At 35.7% G+C, this 18,437-nt stretch overlaps 1 protein-coding gene across 23 annotated transcripts in view, besides 1 other annotated feature; it reads left to right on the top strand.

The window, feature by feature from the left end:
* Positions 1-18,437, top strand: part of AHI1 (Abelson helper integration site 1) — a 214,209-nt gene that overhangs the window by 43,088 nt on the left and 152,684 nt on the right. For all 23 annotated transcript variants that reach the window (XR_001743480.3, XR_007059277.1, XR_007059276.1 and 20 more), the window contains 5 exons: positions 1,217-1,312; positions 6,178-6,363; positions 7,493-7,645; positions 11,939-12,071; positions 16,155-16,278. Coding sequence is in view for 19 of the 23 variants with exons in the window: in XM_047418943.1 (XP_047274899.1) it covers positions 1,217-1,312; positions 6,178-6,363; positions 7,493-7,645; positions 11,939-12,071; positions 16,155-16,278 (692 nt within the window). In the remaining 4 variants the exon portion in view is untranslated. The remainder of the gene's footprint in view (positions 1-1,216; positions 1,313-6,177; positions 6,364-7,492; positions 7,646-11,938; positions 12,072-16,154; positions 16,279-18,437) is intronic.
* Positions 18,026-18,226: a silencer, noted in NCBI's record as "peak6138 fragment used in MPRA reporter construct". NCBI's record gives its function as "represses an SCP1 promoter by STARR-seq MPRAs in K562 erythroleukemia cells {active_cell/tissue: K562}" and the evidence as "EXISTENCE:reporter gene assay evidence [ECO:0000049][PMID:32103011]".

Raw genomic sequence — 18,437 nt, 5'->3', positions numbered from 1 at the left:
GCCTATGCAACTGCTTTTTGATCTCAGTTTTTTAAGTGTTGAGGACAACTTGATAATGTCTCACAGTCTTTAAAACCATTATTTTACTCTTAGGTATTTATCTTAAGGAAAAAAATGACAAGTCCGTGAAGATGTGTGTGCAAGGATATTTATTTCAGCACTGTTTATAATAGCAAAAATTTTAGGGAGATAAAATAACCTACATTTAGATCAGTAAGAGATTTGGTTAAATAAGTTATAATTTTTGTTAAATTTATGGTATTTGTGACAGAATAGTAGGCAGTCATTAACATTACGGTATTCATGTGTATGTATTGACATGAAGAGATATTCACTACATACTATATGAAAATAATTTGTGAAATAGCATTATTAGATTTGTAGTTCCACACATATGTTTAGGAATGCACAGAAAAAGATTTGGCCTGCAAACTAGATGTTAATGGTGACCATCTATGGGTCTGGATTACAAGTTGTTTTTACTTTGGATCTATATATTTTTTATATTATGTTTTCACTGAGCATGTATTATATCTGTAAAAAAGATTTAGGTATCCAAAAAGCACAGATGATTGGAGTCTGTATCATTTCTTAAGCAGTCTTCTTTCTATAAAAATCTCATTTTCGCAGCTGAGCTTTTAATAAGCACCAGTAAGTTTGAAGTGATAGCCTTTGATAAATATCTAGAATACGATCTCTGTGGCAGGTTGGTTGCAAATCCATGAGCTTTAATGTCCAGACAGGATAGAGGAATGGAAGAAATCCTCTTGAGAAGCCTAATTATAACATACATCCAAAGAGAAAAACCCCAACTTCAGGAAGGTGATCCAAGACAAAGACCCAGAAATAGGGTTGTGAGTTTTTTAAACAAACAATCCTTTAAAGTCTGCTGTGATACATAAAAAACAATGAAAGCTTAAGAATTCTATGCCTATTATATTTGTACCTAGGTTATATTTGAGGTGATTAACACTTTGCTTTGGATTTGAAATAAATCATAGTATTTATTAATGAAAGATAAAATAGTCAGAAAATGGACCCTCCCTAACTGAATGAGTTAACTTTAAGGTGAATGAAATGAGATAAAAATGTTTTTATTCCCTGTAAAGGTTAATGTTTTTAAGCACTATACAAATGATTTTTTAAAGTTTTAATAATGTACCATTAGAAAATATTAAATTTTAGGTAGCTTAGTCTTCTGTGAATTTATTTGCAGATTCTTGATTTCTTAAGCGTGGATGAAATTAAGAATAATTCTGAGGTTCAAAACCAAGAATGTGGCTTTCGGAAAATTGCCTGGGCATTTCTTAAGGTATGTTTTTCATCCATTTTAAACACTTTAAAACTAGTCTTCAAATTTAGTTGGCTGCTTTCTCCCAAATCAGTTTGGTCTCATATAAGGAATTAGAATCTAAGGTAATGTTGTAGGGATGAAGAGTTACTAATTCAAGCTCAGGTTATGCTCATTCAGATTCTTAAATATTTATTGATGGCCCAGTATGTGCCAGTTACACTATTTGGTTCTGAGGATGTAGCATTAAAAAAGACACAAACAGCCATGCCATTATTTATTCAGTTCAAAAAATATTAAGACTTTTCTATGTGCCAGCTACTGTTGTCAGTGGACAAAGATGACAAATTCCTTGAACTCCTGGACTTCATATTCCAGCAACACAAACATAAAACAATTGATTTCACAATTTATCATTTAATTATAAATTTTTATAAATATCGTAAAGAGGTATAGGATGGATGATGAACTGTGGGGTCAGGGAAAACATTCCTGAGGAAGAGACACATTGCCACCGGTGGGGAAGAAATGGTCTATGGTAGAGGGTACAATATATGCAAAAACCCTGATATTTGAAGGAGCAGGGTTAATTCAGAAAATCAAAAGAAGGCCACCAAGATTGGAGGACAGAGACTAAGGGGAGAAGAATGGTGCATGAAGAGGTTGCTAAGGTCAACGGGATGTTAATTATGATGAGGTCTTCTCAGTCATTATAGCAAGAGGAAGCCATTATAGAATTTAAAGAGCAATGGGAAGCCACTGTGGGATTTTAAACAAAAGAATAAAATAATCTGATTTGTGTTTTAGAAAGATATATACTCTGTTATGTGGAGAACAGATTCTAGAGGGAGCAAATGTAGATACTTGAAAATCACATTAGGAAATTCTTAACAGTAGTCTAGGTAAAAAATGTCTTTGTACATTTGTCTTTGACTAGGTGTCTCTGACTAGGATGTCTTTGACGAGATGTTTCAGCAAAGATGAAAGGCGTAGATTGATGTTTAAAAAAGGATATTTTAATTTTGTAATTATCTTTTCCTTCAAACATCAATTTAAATTATGAAAAGTCTTGAGTAATTATTTTGTACCATCTTATAAAAACATTTTCATTTGTGAATCCATTCATTCAACAAATATGATCTATAAAATGTGAGACAGTCTGCTAAATTCAGTACATTCATAGATAAATTAGACATTGTATATAGCTGCCCTCCAATTTAATTTCTATACAGACCTGTTACCTACATTATTATGTGCTATAGAACAGATGCTGTTAAAATCCAGTTGAGACATTTAATCCATATTGGAGGTTAGAGAGAGATTTTAGAAGTTTTATAGTCAAAGGGCTGAACAGCCACCAGGTTGGCTATGGTGAGTAAGTAATTTGAGAGTGGCCTTAGCAATCACCTGGTCCAGTGTGCTATCGATGATCACCCTTTTATAAATCTGTTAATGCCTTTTTCCATAACACCTTCCATACTGATTTAGAGCAAAGAAAAAAAGCCATTAAAAAAAAAAAGCAAAAAACTCACTTTCACATAGTAAACAGTGCCATCGTGTGGTTTTATTAGAAACTGCATTTCTTTTATGCTAAGATTTGTGCAGACCTGCAGAATTTACTGTAAGTTGCACTTAGGAAGCAGTAACATATTTCAGGGCATTTCTACCTCTAAGTACTATATGGATTTTTATTTATTTATTCATCTTATGCCATTGGCAAAAATGGCAGTCAAGAATTCTTATCCCATCCCCACCCCCCAGAAAGAGTAAGGTATTCTATGTGCTTCACGTCTTCTAACACTTACCTGTCTTCTTCATTAGACTGTAAGCTTTTTAGAGTCACCAATGACTTCTTTTGGGTAAATATGTTGAACATTTTTAGTCCTTATTTTACTAGGTCTTTTTGCATTTAATATGTCACTCTCTTGAAACTCCATGCTATAATATCACCAGCTCCCAGCATATTAATGTCACATAGAAAGTGTTTGGTGAATATATATTGAGGGAATTAATCATTGATGATAGAAAGAGTGGCAAGGATAAAATTCATCTTCAAGAAAGTGGCATGACGGATGCAGTAGCTGACTCCTGTAATCCCAGCACGCTGGGAGGTGAGGTGGGCCGATCACTTGAGGTCAGGAGTTTGAGACCAACCTGGCCAATATGGTGAAACCCTGTCTCTACTAAAAATACAAAAATTTGCCAGATGTGGTGGTGTGCACCTGTAATCCCAGCTACTCGGGAGGCTGAGCGGGGAGGATTGCTTGGACACAGGGAATGGAAGTTGTAGTGACCTGTGATTGTACCACTGCACTCCAGCCTGGGTGACAGAGTGAGACTCCATCTCAAAAAAAAAGGGAAGTGGCATGAAGACAATTAAAATTTAAATCTTTTATTACCTATCCTGTTGGTACGAGGGATGTCTTGGATAATTGTTAAGTTATTACAGTAATTCAAATGAGACTTTATCCTAATTCTCAGCTATGCCTCAGATTCTCAGGTACTTTCAGTTCTTTTAGTACATATATGTGGCTATTCTTTTAAACTAAAAAGTAATAAAGCCTTATTTATCTGAGCTCTACATTATATAATTTATAACCATAATGGCAGGGTCTTGGCTGAATCTTAGTTGTTTACTCAGGCTAAGCAACGTATTAATGTAAACTAAATTGCCTGTTTAAATTAATCTATGGAAAGTATGATTTAGAAGCTGGGGAATATCTTTTTAAAATTACCGTGATAAGCTTTGGGGAGCTGTAGGAGAGTTTATCAAGGGAGTCTCGAGTGCTTATGATTTAATGACTGAACATATCTATTACTCAATTGGGAATGGTTCTTTACCCCTGTGTGTCATTTGACACTAATCACAATGTCACCCGCTCAGCTTATAACCTCCATTGTCTTTACATTCTTTCCTAAAGGGGTAGGGGAAAAGATGGGCTATATTTTGCCATCTCTTTTTCCTTGTTGATGCATCATTCCTTAACTTATCATTCCTGAACAACGTTCTGAATTTTGCCTCTGCCACTAAAGCTTCTCCAACCAAATCACTAGTGATTTCTGTTTGCTAAATATATTGAACATTTTTTAGTTATTTTGTCACATCTATGCATTTAACATATCACACTCTTGAAACTCTGTTACCTTGGTTTTCTTGACACCATCCTCTCCTAATTTTTCTTATACCATTCTTTGAGTTTCCTTCATGGTCTTCTACCTACCTCCTTAATATCAGTCTTACTCATGGTTTCATCTTTAACCCACTTTTCTTGGAACCACTTTTCTCACCTGTGCTTCAGATTTGTAAATTCAGTCACCTGCTGGACATTTCAGCTTGGATGACTTATAGATATGTCAGATTCCTCCAAACTGAGTATCCGTGCTACTCTCTCTGCCACTTCAATTGGTGGTACCACCATCTGTCCACTCTCCCAGATTTACGAACTTAGAGTTACACTGTTTTGGTAGCTACAAGTCACATGGCTGTTTGAATTCAAATTAAATATAATTAAAAATTTACTTTCACATTTGTGCTAGCCATACTTCAAGTGCAGGGTAGCCACATGTGGATTCCGTATTGGTTAGCACAAATTGGTTAGAGTATTCCCATCATTATAGAAAGCTCTCTTGGACAATACTATCTTAGAGCCTTTCTTGCCTCTTTGTTTTTTTTTACTTTCCAAGTTACATAAGTCTACAAGTAACAGTTGTTAAATGTGTTCCCTGCACTCAGTGCCTATTCTTCTAATTTAAGATATTAAGTTACATGAGTCTACAAGTAACAGTTGTTAAATACCTTCCGGGCACTCAGTGCTTATTCTTCTAATTTAAGATACTTCATGTTTTGTGTGAACTGTTGCAAAGGGTTCAAACTATCTTTCTGCTCCTAATTTGCAGAAGACATAAAGGTTAGAAAGACGTTTCATTTCCTATTTTGAGTCATGGTCTAATGAAAGAGAACGTATTCTGAGTTGGTAAGATTTTTATGTTTCTCATAAAAATCTCCATTTAGGGCCAGGCGTGGTGGCTCACAACTGTAATCCCAACACTTTGGGAGGCCGAGGTGGGCAGATCACCTGAGGCCAGGAGTTCAAGACCAGCCTGACCAACATGGCAAAACCTCTGACTATACTAAAAACACAAAAATCAACCAGGTGTGGTGGCATGCACCTGTAATCCTAGCTACTCGGGAGGCTGAGGCACAAGAATCACTTGAACCCAGAGGAGGTGGAAATTGCAGTGAGCCAAGATTTTGCCACTGCACTCCGGCCTGGATAACAGAGCGAGATTCTGCCCAAAAAAAGAGACAAAAACCTCCATTTAGTTAGCTTAAATATAAGTTTTGTTTAATAGGGTTTTAAAAATAGACCTTTGAAAGAAGATATACTAAAATACTGAAAAAAATGTAACGAATGGCTTGAATGAGTTTAATTATCTTGAAATGATTTTAACTTTTTAAAAATTTAAAACATAAAATTTTAACCATTAAAAATACTGATATTAAACAAATGGAAGATTTGTGTCTTGTGTAAATATACAGTTTAGTCTTTATCATAATTATTTCAAACATGTGTATTGATCACTTCCTTTGTTCAGCGTGAAATCTGGCACAGTAATGTAAATGCTGTACCGACAGTCTGAAATTGTTGTACACGTGAAAAGAGAGCTATCAGGAAAATATTTTAAAAGCCATTTGGGCTACCTTTTGTCAAAAATGATCTGGAAGTGTGCTTAACTAACTATTTAATGTTCTTTGCTTTTTAAAACTAAGAAATTTCAGCATGCCATATTAATCTTTTAAAAATGTTTCTGACTTTATGCTATTGCTTTATTGGATATATTTATTTTCAATGAAGGTAACATTTTATATGAATTCTTATTTTAAGCTTCTGGGAGCCAATGGAAATGCAAACATCAACTCAAAACTTCGCTTGCAGCTATATTACCCACCTACTAAGCCTCGATCCCCATTAAGTGTTGTTGAGGCATTTGAATGGTGGTCAAAATGTCCAAGAAATCATTACCCATCAACACTGTACGTAACTGTAAGAGGACTGAAAGTTCCAGACTGTGTAAGTTAATAGTACATATTAAGTGTATATCATCTAGTGTTGAAATTAAATGGTGACATAGCATGTTTTTCATTTCTAAAAAGATAAGGCCTCTAATAATAATTTTAATAGATTTCTGGGGTTATATATTAAGCCTGTAATAGCTGATATTTAAAAGATGCTTAAATGAATTTTAAATGTGAAATGTGGCTTTTAGTATTAGGAAAAATGTTTTGTTATAATTTGATTTTCAAAAATTAAAGATAAAAGGTTGATTTAAAGCAGGAGTTGAAAAATAGTTTCTGTAAAGGGCCAGATAGTAAATATTTTAGGCTTTGGCCCTGTAGTTTCAGTCAATTTTGCCTTTATAGTGTGAAAATAGCTACATAGACATATGTAGGCCATAACTGAACAAATGGGTGTGATGTGTTCCAATAAAAGTTTATTTACAAAAACAGGTAGTAGGCCAGATTTGGTGTGTGGGCTGCAGTTTGCAGACTCCTGATTTCTGGGCACATTTTTCACAATATTATTCAAATAATCAGTATGTAATGTTTCTACTGCTGCTGTTTTCCATAGATTAATATTATAAATAATCTTAGCAAAGAATTGGCCCTAAAATAAAAAAGTTTTGCTTTTGTCTAGTTTCTTGTAAGACATTAATTTTTCAGGTCATTTGCACGTTCTGTAGCTGATATGTACTGTCACCACAGGGCTGATTTGCATTGGTTTGGATGGAGTTAAATCTATTATTTGAGAAATGAGGATTTTTAAAACTTGAGATTTTTATGATACTAGTTTTGTGATATTAAAGCCAGAGATATGATAGTATATCAGAGCCATGGCATAACTCATAAGTATTGGTGAAGAAGCAGAAACAAAGGATAGAGTTATTAAAATCATTTCATGTGACCTTTGTGGTCATATTTTTTCCTCCAAAATTTTTATGGCTTTTTGGTTACAGGACTGTAGTTTTAAGCAGCTTTTTTATTTTATTTAGAATAATGTACAAATAAAAGTAGAATTTTTTTCTGGATTACATTTTGAAAATATTTTCATATTATTTGTTTCAGTATTTTAAAAACTATATGCTAGAAAAAGAAAAAGGTGAACATGGTATATAAATTTTCATATTTTAATGCATATTTAGATAAAGCCATCTTACCGCTCTATGATGGCTCTTCAGGAGGAAAAAGGTAAACCAGTGCATTGTGAACGTCACCATGAGTCAAGCTCAGTAGACACAGAACCTGGATTAGAAGAGTCAAAGGAAGTAATAAAGTGGAAACGACTCCCTGGGCAGGTGAAGTGTTTGATAATAGTGGATTTATTTAGATGTTTACTTATTACCTTAAAAACTCCAATAACTCCTAGGATATCTAGCTTACTACTTAAAATGCTTGCTATTTATCCTTGTTTTTAACCACAATTTTGCCTTTCCATTAATTAATTTGACAAATAATAATAGAGTGCCTAGCATGTGTATATAAGCACTATCTTACATTCTTTGGGCACTTGGGCAATTGTATTAGCTTGGGCTGCTATAACAAAATACCACTGACTGGGTGGCTTAAACAGCAGACATTTATTTCTCACAGTTCTGGAGGCCGAGAAGTCCAAGATCAAGATGCTAGCCAGCCTAGTTCCTGGTGAGGGTCCACTTTTTGACTTGGAGCCCGCCTCCTCTTCACTATATTCTCACATGGTGGAGAGAGAGATCACCTTTCTCGCGTCTTTTCTTATAAGGGCACGAATCTGATTCATGAGCTTCTCACTCTCAGGACCAAATTACCTCCCAAAGACCCCCACATCTAAATACTATCACATAGGGGATTACAGCTTTAACATACAGTTTTTGAGAGGACATAGCATTCAGTGCATAGCAAAGATCAAGGTGATGACTGGGTTGATTTCTTCTGAGGCTTCTCCTTGGCTTACAGTTGGCTGCCCTCTTGCTGCCTCTTCACATGATCTTTGTGCATGCACGCCCCTGTTGTCTCTCCCCCTATTGGATTAGGACCCTTCCATAATTATTTCATTTTAATGTAATTACCTTTTTAAAGACCATGTCTCCAAATACTGTTACATTCTGAGGTGTTAGGGGTTAGAGCTTTAGCATATTCATTTGGGTGACAAGGGGTGGGGGTGTGAGTGGGAGGAGAGAGGACACAATTCAGCCTATAACAGCAGTCAGATAACATAGATTTTTAGCCTGGGCAATGTAGCAAGACCCATTCTCTTTTTGTTTTTTTTTTGAGACGGAGACTTGCTCTGTCGCCCAGGCTGGAGTGCAGTGGTGCAATCTCGGCTCACTGCAAGCTCCACCTCCCGGGTTCATGCCATTCTTCTGCCTCAGCCTCCGGAGTAGCTGGGACTACAGGCGTCTGCCACCACGCCTGGCTAATTTTTTGTATTTTTAGTAGAGATGGGGTTTCACCATGTTTGCCAGGATGGTCTCGATCTCCTGACCTCGTGATCCGCCTGCCTCAGCCTCCCAAAGTACTGGGATTACAGGCGTGAGCCACCGTGCCCGGCCAGCAAGACCCATTCTTTTAAAAAAAATTTTTTTAATTAGGTGGGCATGGTGGCATGCACCTGTAGTCCCAGCTACTTGGGAGGCTGAGGAAGGAAGATTGATTGAACCCAGGAATTCAAGGCTGCAGTGAGCTATGATTCTGCCACTGCACTCAAGCCTGGATGACAGAATGAGATCCCATCTCTTTAAAAAGAAAAAGAATTAAAAATTTAAAAAAAAATTTTTTGATGTCTGTAAGATGTATATCTCTTAATGTTTATGGATTCATGAAATTCTTCACAGCACCTGGCTTCTTCCTGAATCACACTTTGATAGAGATATGTACATGTATATACTTCTGCCACAAGCTGAGCAGAATTTAAGCTTTTACTAAAGTGTTCTTACTAGATTAGCATTTTATGCAGTGGCAAGAAGCATTGCTGATACAATTTTGCAATGTTTTACTTGTTTTTATAAAGAATGAAGTGGTTTATTTTATGCATATGAGCTGCTACCAGATGAAATTTATCCAAAATCTTAATTTATTCAAACATCTAATGTAGAAATAAGAGCTTACTATTCTTACTTATTCATCTTCATTTTCTATATTTTATATCACATTTGACTTTCTTTTTGAGGCTGATTTTACAGATACATTTTAAAATCACTTTGAGTTAGAATACTTTAAGCATGATATGGAGAGAATAACACTTAGATTATGCCCTTGGGGAACTTCCAAGTTAGGTGGGAAAAGAAAGCAGTTACATTGTTGTTTATTTTCAGATATGCTTCAGAGAAGTCTTGATGAAATGAGGAAATGTAGGTATAAAGATGATTGTACAGATCAGCAGTTCTCAAAATGTAGTTTGGAGACCTCTGGGAGTTCTGAGTCCCTTTCAGGGGGTTCTTGAAGTCAACTTCTTTTCATAATGATTCTAAGGTGTTACTAGTCTCATTCAGATTCATTCTCTTACAAGTATGTACTAGCATTTTCTAGAGGCTAAATAACGTGATATCACAAGAGAGCAGAGGCACTTACGAAAATCTAGATTTTATTCAGCTAGACATTTAAAGTTAGCAAGTTACTTTTATTTTATTTTTATGAAAACTCCAAATAGCCTCCAAAAAAATGTTCCAAGAATGTAAAGCATCTCGAAACTAAAAACATTTGAGAATTGCAGATATGAAGACTGAACTACAATGGTGGAAGAAGGGCTCATTCAACAGTGGAGCTTGAGATAGACTAGGATGCTCAAGGTAGGGGTGAGTGAAGGAGGGACAAGGGCGGGTATTTCATATGAAGGCAAAGTTGCAAATAAGTGGGAAAGGACCTGTTGTATTCATTAGGCACTCAAAAGCTTAGCTGGTTGGAAACCAGAGTTTGTAAAAGAGGAGATAAAGTAGTGTACTGGATGAGGCCCACATTGTGGAGTGTCTCAAATGGTAGCCTAATACTTGATTGTGAGGGATGTGAGGAATAATGGAAGGTTTTCGGGTGAGTGAGAAAAATAACAATTGTATTTGAGGATGAATTAATGCAGGCAGTGGCATGGGGAGATCTTGAAGTAGTAACATCAGAATTAGATGGCAGTCATTGATGTGTGAGGTGATGAGGGTCTAATGAATACGAGAGACAGAAAGTAGGAACCAGCATGATTTAGTGACTGACAAGGTAGTAAAGGAGGAGAAACAGTCAAGGCTTTTGAGGACCTTTATTGTTGTTATCAGACTTTCATTGAGTGTCTGTTGTGGATAGGGCACAGAGTCAAACCCTGAGAATACAAAGAACATGATAGTGGGTTCAATGTTTTCATTTTCAGCCTAGGTGATTGGGCACAGAGTTTTCCTTAATTACACTTCCTACTCTAGGAGCAGCAGCAAGTGGTTATAAAGCCTCCTGACATTTCTTTCAGTTTTTGTTACCTTGTTACCCTCCTCTCCCTTTTCTTAATTATGTGGTTGGAGGATGCAGAGAAAAGATGGGTAGCATGGAGTCTGGAGAATGCAGAGAAAGGATGGGGAGCATGGAGTCTGGTACATGATTGACACTTAACAAATTCTTTTGAATTTTTCACATTCCTAGTAGCTGGTCATAATGCTGTCTCCAGAGGAACTGCTAGATCTTGGTACTATTTGTGAAAAACCTGGTACCTGTCTAGAAAGCATGCCCTTGAAGTAACAGTCTTTGAGTAGGTCCATTAAGCTAGGCTTGACCCTTTGAATAATCCCTCTTAGCCATATAGAGCTAATAATGGTTACTCTTAGCTAGTAATAGCTACTCATAGGGTGGCTGTGATGAATATATTCAAAGACCTTTGTAATAAAGTACAACTTTCATGACATATAGTAAGAGCCCAGTATATGTTTACTTCAACTTTTTGAATTATAAGAAACAGAAGAACTAAGGCTCACTGAAGGTTGCAAGAGATAGAATTAGGATAAATAAACGTAACTGGTATTTTCTACAGTAGACATTAATACCCAGAAAATTTGGGCTTCATCTGGTAGAAGAGGGTGAAAACATTAAAATTTTGAAGAAATTGTAATAATGAATGAGAGACCAATAAGGGCCGATTGATTACTTTGAAAATACATTTTGGAAGGCAGCCACAAAAGGTGATTATTTTAAGATAGGCAAAGAGAGAATAAGCATTCATACATTCTGGCTTAAGCTAGGCCCCATAGGTACTTGTGGTCTTAAAAAAAGCTTGTGACTTTAACAAAAGTGACTTACTAGTGCTGTCATAGAATAAGGCTGTGACATACATTCTTTTAGTAGCTATATAGAAGCAGTGTGGCAGTGATGGCTTTAGAGTATCAGATATTGAAATTTTTCTATTCATATTTAGGTGAATTAAGTACTACTTAAACATGAAGAACAAACCCACTTTAAAAATTTCATGGACACTGATTCTCTTTTTACAAAGCAATTTACTATGGTTTTTCACCATTCTGCGTACTTGTTTTTCTCTTTCTCTGCATCATAAAAGGACTTAAAAGAACTACAGTAATTGAAATTAAAAACTAGCCTTCGCGTTTTAATGTTTGCTAATTTATATTTTTTAAACGTATGTTTTTTAGGCTTGCCGTATCCCAAACAAACACCTCTTCTCACTAAATGCAGGAGAACGAGGATGTTTTTGTCTTGATTTCTCCCACAATGGAAGAATATTAGCAGCAGCTTGTGCCAGCCGGGATGGATATCCAATTATTTGTGAGTAATAATCCTACCTGTTTAATCTGATTGTAGTCCACGTGGAGGACATTCTTTAGTTTTTTTAAATTCATGGAAATCTTAACTTGAGTAATCCCCTGTACTACTAAATTAAAGAAAACGGATTTCTTCAAACAAAGAAAGTTCTTTTGTAATAATTTTACACTTTTCTATACAGTAACTGTTCGTAAGTAGAATGAGATTGATCAAATGAAAGATGGTAAATTTATTTTTAAAACATGCAGGAGGATTTTTGTAAACATTTTGTATTTTAAATATAGAAATTTGGAAACAAGGATGAATAAATCTCATGGGGAACATTAGTCCAATGTGGCTAGTTGATAGCAGTGATGATTTGAGTTACAAAAGCCTCCAGATTTGCTGTGTAGTGGAATACCAATAATTGACTCAAGAGTACCTAGATGAAAACTTCTCATTATGATAGAGAAGTCAGCAGAGAGGCCAAGCAATTATTTCTGTTGCTTTAGAGACATTCTAAAGTGAGCATTATCATACTGTTCTAGACTTAGAAGCATTAAATACTCTCTCCTTTACTTCTGACTCAATAATAAAACCAGCTCTCCTCTGCAGAAGTAGCCAGCTCCTTGTGGGCATCTGCCCTAAACACTAGATCTTATTGAACTTTCCTCAGCTTAACACAGTTTGCTATTAATTGGTTGATTCCCTTTTTTTTAATCAGGGACTCATAATTGACTTGATTGGCATTTATTAAGTAGATATTGCTCCCCATGAAATAGTAATAAATTTTAAAAATAAAAAATCACTTGTGTCGTTTGATTACCACTATGCTATTTTTAAAATTCACCAAAAACCCATATGTAGAGGGAAAAAAGGTTCTTAGGAAATGCTCCTAAGTTATTAATAGTAATTTATTTCTTTTGGATAGTGAAAGAATTATTTTATTCCGATTTTATGTTTTAAAAGCTTCTGTGATAAATATGTTACTTTATGCTTAAATAAACTTGCTTTAAAATGCTATGTAGATTGAGATATTGCTTAAATCTCAAAAATAGAGGAGGAAGAGGAATCTTTGTCTTTGGTTTTTGACTATTTGATTATGATGTGTCTACTTGGAATTCCTTTAACTTGTTGAATATGCAGATCAGTGTTTTTCACAAATTAGAGATGTATTCAGTCATTATTTCTTGAAATGTTCTGTTTGGCCCTTTTCTCTTTCTTCTTCTGGGAGTCCCGTTATGCCTGTGTTGGTACTCTTGGTGGTGTCCCACAAGTCTCTGAAACTTTTCTATTTTTCTTCATTCTTTTTCTGCTTTTTTCAGACTGGATAATCTCAGTTGACCTGTTGTCAAATTTAGTAATTCTTTCAGTTTAGATCTGCTTTTGAGCCCCTCTAGTGAATTATTTATTTCAGTTATTGTACTTTTCAACTGTAAAATTTCTAGTTGGACTTTTTTTTTAATCATATCTATTTCTTTATTGATACTCTCTTTTTTGGTGGGAAATCCTTTTCACACTTTAATTCTTTAGATATAGTTTTCTTTAGATCTTGGAATATATTTATAATAGTGGATTGAAAGTCTTTGTTGAGAAAGCCCAGCGTCTGGGCTTCCTCAGTTTCTATGTGGATGACTTTTTTCCCCTGTGTATGGGCCACTCTTTCCTGTTTTTTCCATTTCTCATAATTTTGTATTGAAAACTGGATGTTTTAATAATGCAGTGTGGCAACTCTGGAAATCAGATGCCCTCCTTTCTCCCCTCACGCCCACCCAAGATTTATTATTTTTGCAGTTAGCTTTGTGATTTTGGACTAATTCTGTAGTCTTTACTGTCTGTCATGTGTTGCCATTGATGTCTGTGCTCGGTTAAGTTCGTGGTCAGACAGAGACCACCGTTGTGGTTAGACAGAGATTTTTAAATACTTGAGTGGATAGGTCTACTGGTCTTTGCCAAGAGACTCTGTGTGTGTTGGGGTATACCTTCAATGCTTCGGTACACAATCTACAGCTCTGCCTTAGCTTTACTTTCTGTTTGTCCTGAGCCTCCTCACGTCAGCCCGAGTGAGAAGTAAAGCCTGTCAGGTCTTTCTTGGTTGTGCATATTCCCTTCACATACATGGATGGGAATCCTTCTAGATACCCAGGAATATTTTGGAGTTTATCAGTGTCCCCTATGGACATCTCATGCCCGGTTTTTTGTTTTGTTTTGTTTCATTTTGTTTTTTGTTTTTATTTTAAGTTCTTTGGTGAGCCTCTTCTTAGCCTCACTTGCAGCTGTGATATTAAATGATGCCACGGGTTGTTTTGACATGCACCTTAGGGTTAGGGCTGTCCTCCCAGAGCATGCTGTGAGCCAGGTCAAATAAAGGCAGGCCCTGACAGTGGATCTTTCCTGGAGGGCCAGACTGTCAAATAGTGAGAAGTCTTTGGGGATGGGGCTTTTAGGGAGCATCAGACCTGTTCTGCCCCAACCAGTCTCTTGATTTTTATTGGTTTTTAAGGCTCCTTTAAAGTTTGAGACAGGAATGAGAACATAGCAAGTTAAAACACCGTAAAGCTCAATGTTCTTACCAAATTCAGCCATTTTTCTTAAATACTCTTCAAATTTTTGTAAGCTTTGCTTAATTTTCAGAGTTCTGAGAATGTTGATTTTTGCCAGTTTTTGCCAGTGTTCTTGTTGCTTCTGTGGGGAGGAGATTTTTTCTAAGATTCTTACTTTGCTATTCCACAAGTACAGTAGTCCCTCTTTTTCCATAGGGTATATGTTCTAAGACCCTCAGTGGAAGCCTGAAACCTCAAGTAGTACTGAACCCGATTGCCATCAGTAGAAACACATGTATGCTCATGCTTTCCACCCACAGATTTATATCTTTTCCATCTTAACAAAACACTTACCATGCACTAAAGGCCATTACTTTTGTCGTTTGAGGTGTGACAGCAAAACTAGCACAAACCTCTTTTTCGTTCTTCACAATTTCACGGATAGAAGATTTTTACTGTAGATCCTAGCAACCTCAACATATGATTTTTTTTTCTTTCCTTTTTAAATCAAGAACTTTCACCTTTTCAGTCAAAGGAAGTACTTTATCATTTCCCTTTGGCATATGCCAATTGCCAACATGATTACTCTTGCACCTTGTGACCGTTAAGTAAAATAAGGGTTACTTGAACAAAAGCACTGGGTGACAACCAGTCTGATAACTGAGACAGCTACTAAGTTTCTGATAGACAGCATCTATAGCATGGATACATTGAACACAGGATAATTCACATGCTGGAGACATGGAGCTAAATGGCATGAGATTTCATAACACTACTCAGAATGATGTGCATTTTAAAACTTAGGAATTATTTATTTCTGGAATTTTCCATTTGATATTTTCAGACCATGGTTGACTGCGGGTAACTGAAACCACAGAAGGTGAAACTGCACATAAGGGGGGACTGCTGTTATTTCTGAACTGCTAAGTATTTTAAAGGGCAATTGATTTTTACCACTAGATGGAAGCAGAGACTTGGAAACTTTGTTTTTCCGTGTTACTATCTTAGATTTCATTGTATGTTTAAACATATAGTAAAATACCACAGTGCTTTGTGTGTCTGATTGAGTCATTGTTAATTCCCATACTATCCCTGATTACTATCCCTGTTCATTTTAGTATTAAAATTTACTTTTGACAATAGCACAATTTAAATTTCTCCTTACTTCAAATAATTAAATTTTTGGTTGGCATTTAGTTGATTTTCAGGTGAAATAATAATGAAAGCCTAAATTATAGAATATAAGTGAATTGCAATGTAAATGTTATTATTCAACTGATATAAATTTATTATTAAAGATTCTTAGGGGATTTCTTTAAAGAGATGAAAATAATTGATAATTGTAGCAAAATTATAACTGAAAATTTTGCATGTGAATTTTTGTGTAAAGCAAAAGAAAAACTATTCTTAAGTAAATTTTGAAATTTTCTCTGTGCTGCAAATGTCTTTGGTTATAATTTTGTTATAGACTGCTTATGTCTAAATAATATTAAATTATATATTTGTATATTATTGGATTAAGGATCTTCTGTCTGGAAACCTAATTTCTAAATATTTTCATTAGTATATGAAATTCCTTCTGGACGTTTCATGAGAGAATTGTGTGGCCACCTCAATATCATTTATGATCTTTCCTGGTCAAAAGATGATCACTACATCCTTACTTCATCATCTGATGGCACTGCCAGGTTAGTATCCTTGAGAAGTACTTATGTGCATGCTGTTTGCTGTCAAGGAAAGCAAAGAGAATATAAACTGATGTAACTACTCTTATGCTCCAGTCGTATTTTCCCAAGAAGGGACTGTCATAAATATGCATCATGCAGACTGATTCCATAAATTATAGTAACACTTTTTAAAGACATTTTTCTTAAATGTCTTTTATTTATGTAGCATATAATATTTCTAGTCCTCACCATCTTTAAATGATCATTATGTAAACTGATTAATGCTTTGAGATGGGGTTAGGGGTTATTAAACACTTGAGATTTTTTCCTAGAGCATAAGCTCTTGGTGGCAGGGATACTGTCTTCACTATTGGCTGGATTTGCAGAGGGTAGAATCCAGTGGTGCTCAGTATATCACAGTAGAGGAAACAAATATGTACCTTATATTTTAACAGTTTTATAGATTGGTTAAACATTTACATTTTTCAGAATGTCAATCTTAAAAATAATTTATCCCTTTTCAATTTAATAAGTATCACAATAAAACATTTTAAAAGCTAACTTTAAAAGTTTCATTTATACTTTTTTTAGTTGCTTGTTCTACCTTGAATGTGTTCTAAAAATACTGTTAGTTTTCAGGGTGCTTTTAGATACATCACTTAATTTGATTCTTACAGCTATTAGGTAAGACATTATTCTCTCCACACACTACGAAACTGACATGTAAACAGTTGAGATCCATGCTGAATTCATTGTCATTTACTTCTGCCTTCTACTCTCTTAACACTTCGTGTTACTTTTAGTGTTCAGACCACTTCTTCTACTGATCTTGCCAACCTCCTTTTCTGTATAAAATATCTAATCAAGATGTTACCATTATTGGTTAGTTTTTATTTAAATGAAAAAGATGAGAATTAGTAACAATTGACTTCCTTCTTGGTCATGCTGGGAACCTACTATTACTCCTTTTTGACAATATCCTCAAGAAACTATCTGATCTGTTCTTTTAGCACAGCCATTCTGTCCAATGCCAGGCCATACTAGAGAAAAATATGTAACTTTGCTGAGGGGTGACTTTGGATTTGTAAGTCTTAATGTCACCTAAGCTGTCATCTCTGCTGAGGAATCCTTTTACTTTACTCAGCTTCCTTTTCTTTTTCCTCTGGCAGCAGATCCAAACTTACCATGAACATTCTCTACAGTAAATCACAGTCTTCCCACTTCATTAGATGACTATCTTCAATTTAGATGAAATTTAGTCAGACATGATCTTCGTATATTTCCCTCTGATTTCCCTCCTAATATCCATAGATATGTCCATTTTTAATCTCTGTCCATCTCTTTTAACAAAGAGGCACGTGACTGACGTTTTAAAGGCTATTTGACCTGTACTTTTCATCTCAGTCCCTGAAAATTTGTATTACATCTACTAGTCTGATTAATATCTTTCTCTCTATTGATTGTGTCCTCTCATCTTAGAAATATGCTCAAATGGGCCGGGCGCAGTGGCTTATGCCTGTAATCCCAGCACTTTGGGAAGCCGAGGTGGGCAGATCACTGGAGGTCAGGAGTTCGAGATCAGCCTGGCCAACATGGCGAAACCCTGTCTCTATTAAAAATACAAAAATAAGCCGGGTGTGGTGGTCTGCATCTGTAGTCCCAGCTACTTCAGAGGCTGAGGCAAGAGAATCACTTGAACTGGGAGGTGGAGGTTGCAGTGAGCCGAGATTGCGCCATTGCACTCCAGCCTGGGTGACAGATTGAGACTCTGCCTCAAAAAGAAAAAAGAAATATGCTCAAATTGCCTTATCTTAAAAACATCATTTTCAGTTCTTCCTGCCTTCTAGACTAGCCCATTATTTTTCTTTTTCTACACCATCAGGAGTATTCTACACATACTGTCTTTACTTCAGCCCAGTTATTCTGGCTTTCTTTCCCACCATGCTACATAAACTTCTTTCTTCAGAGGTTGGCAGTTTCTTGCTATTTTTAAATCCATTTGGACAGTTTAACTCCTGCTCTGCTTGCCTTCACTGTAGTAATTGATTATTGACCAGTCTTGAAATATTTTGAATTCATAGTTTTCATTGACAACCTCTTCTCTTCTCTTTTTATTACTCTGACCAGTTCTATCCATTGTCTTTCTCTGATTTATTTTCCTCTGCCGATCGTCTATATGT

This window comes from Homo sapiens, chromosome 6 (assembly GCF_000001405.40).
Source record: "Homo sapiens chromosome 6, GRCh38.p14 Primary Assembly".
Lineage (NCBI taxonomy): Eukaryota > Metazoa > Chordata > Mammalia > Primates > Hominidae > Homo > Homo sapiens.
This window is presented reverse-complemented; position numbering and strand designations above follow the sequence as displayed.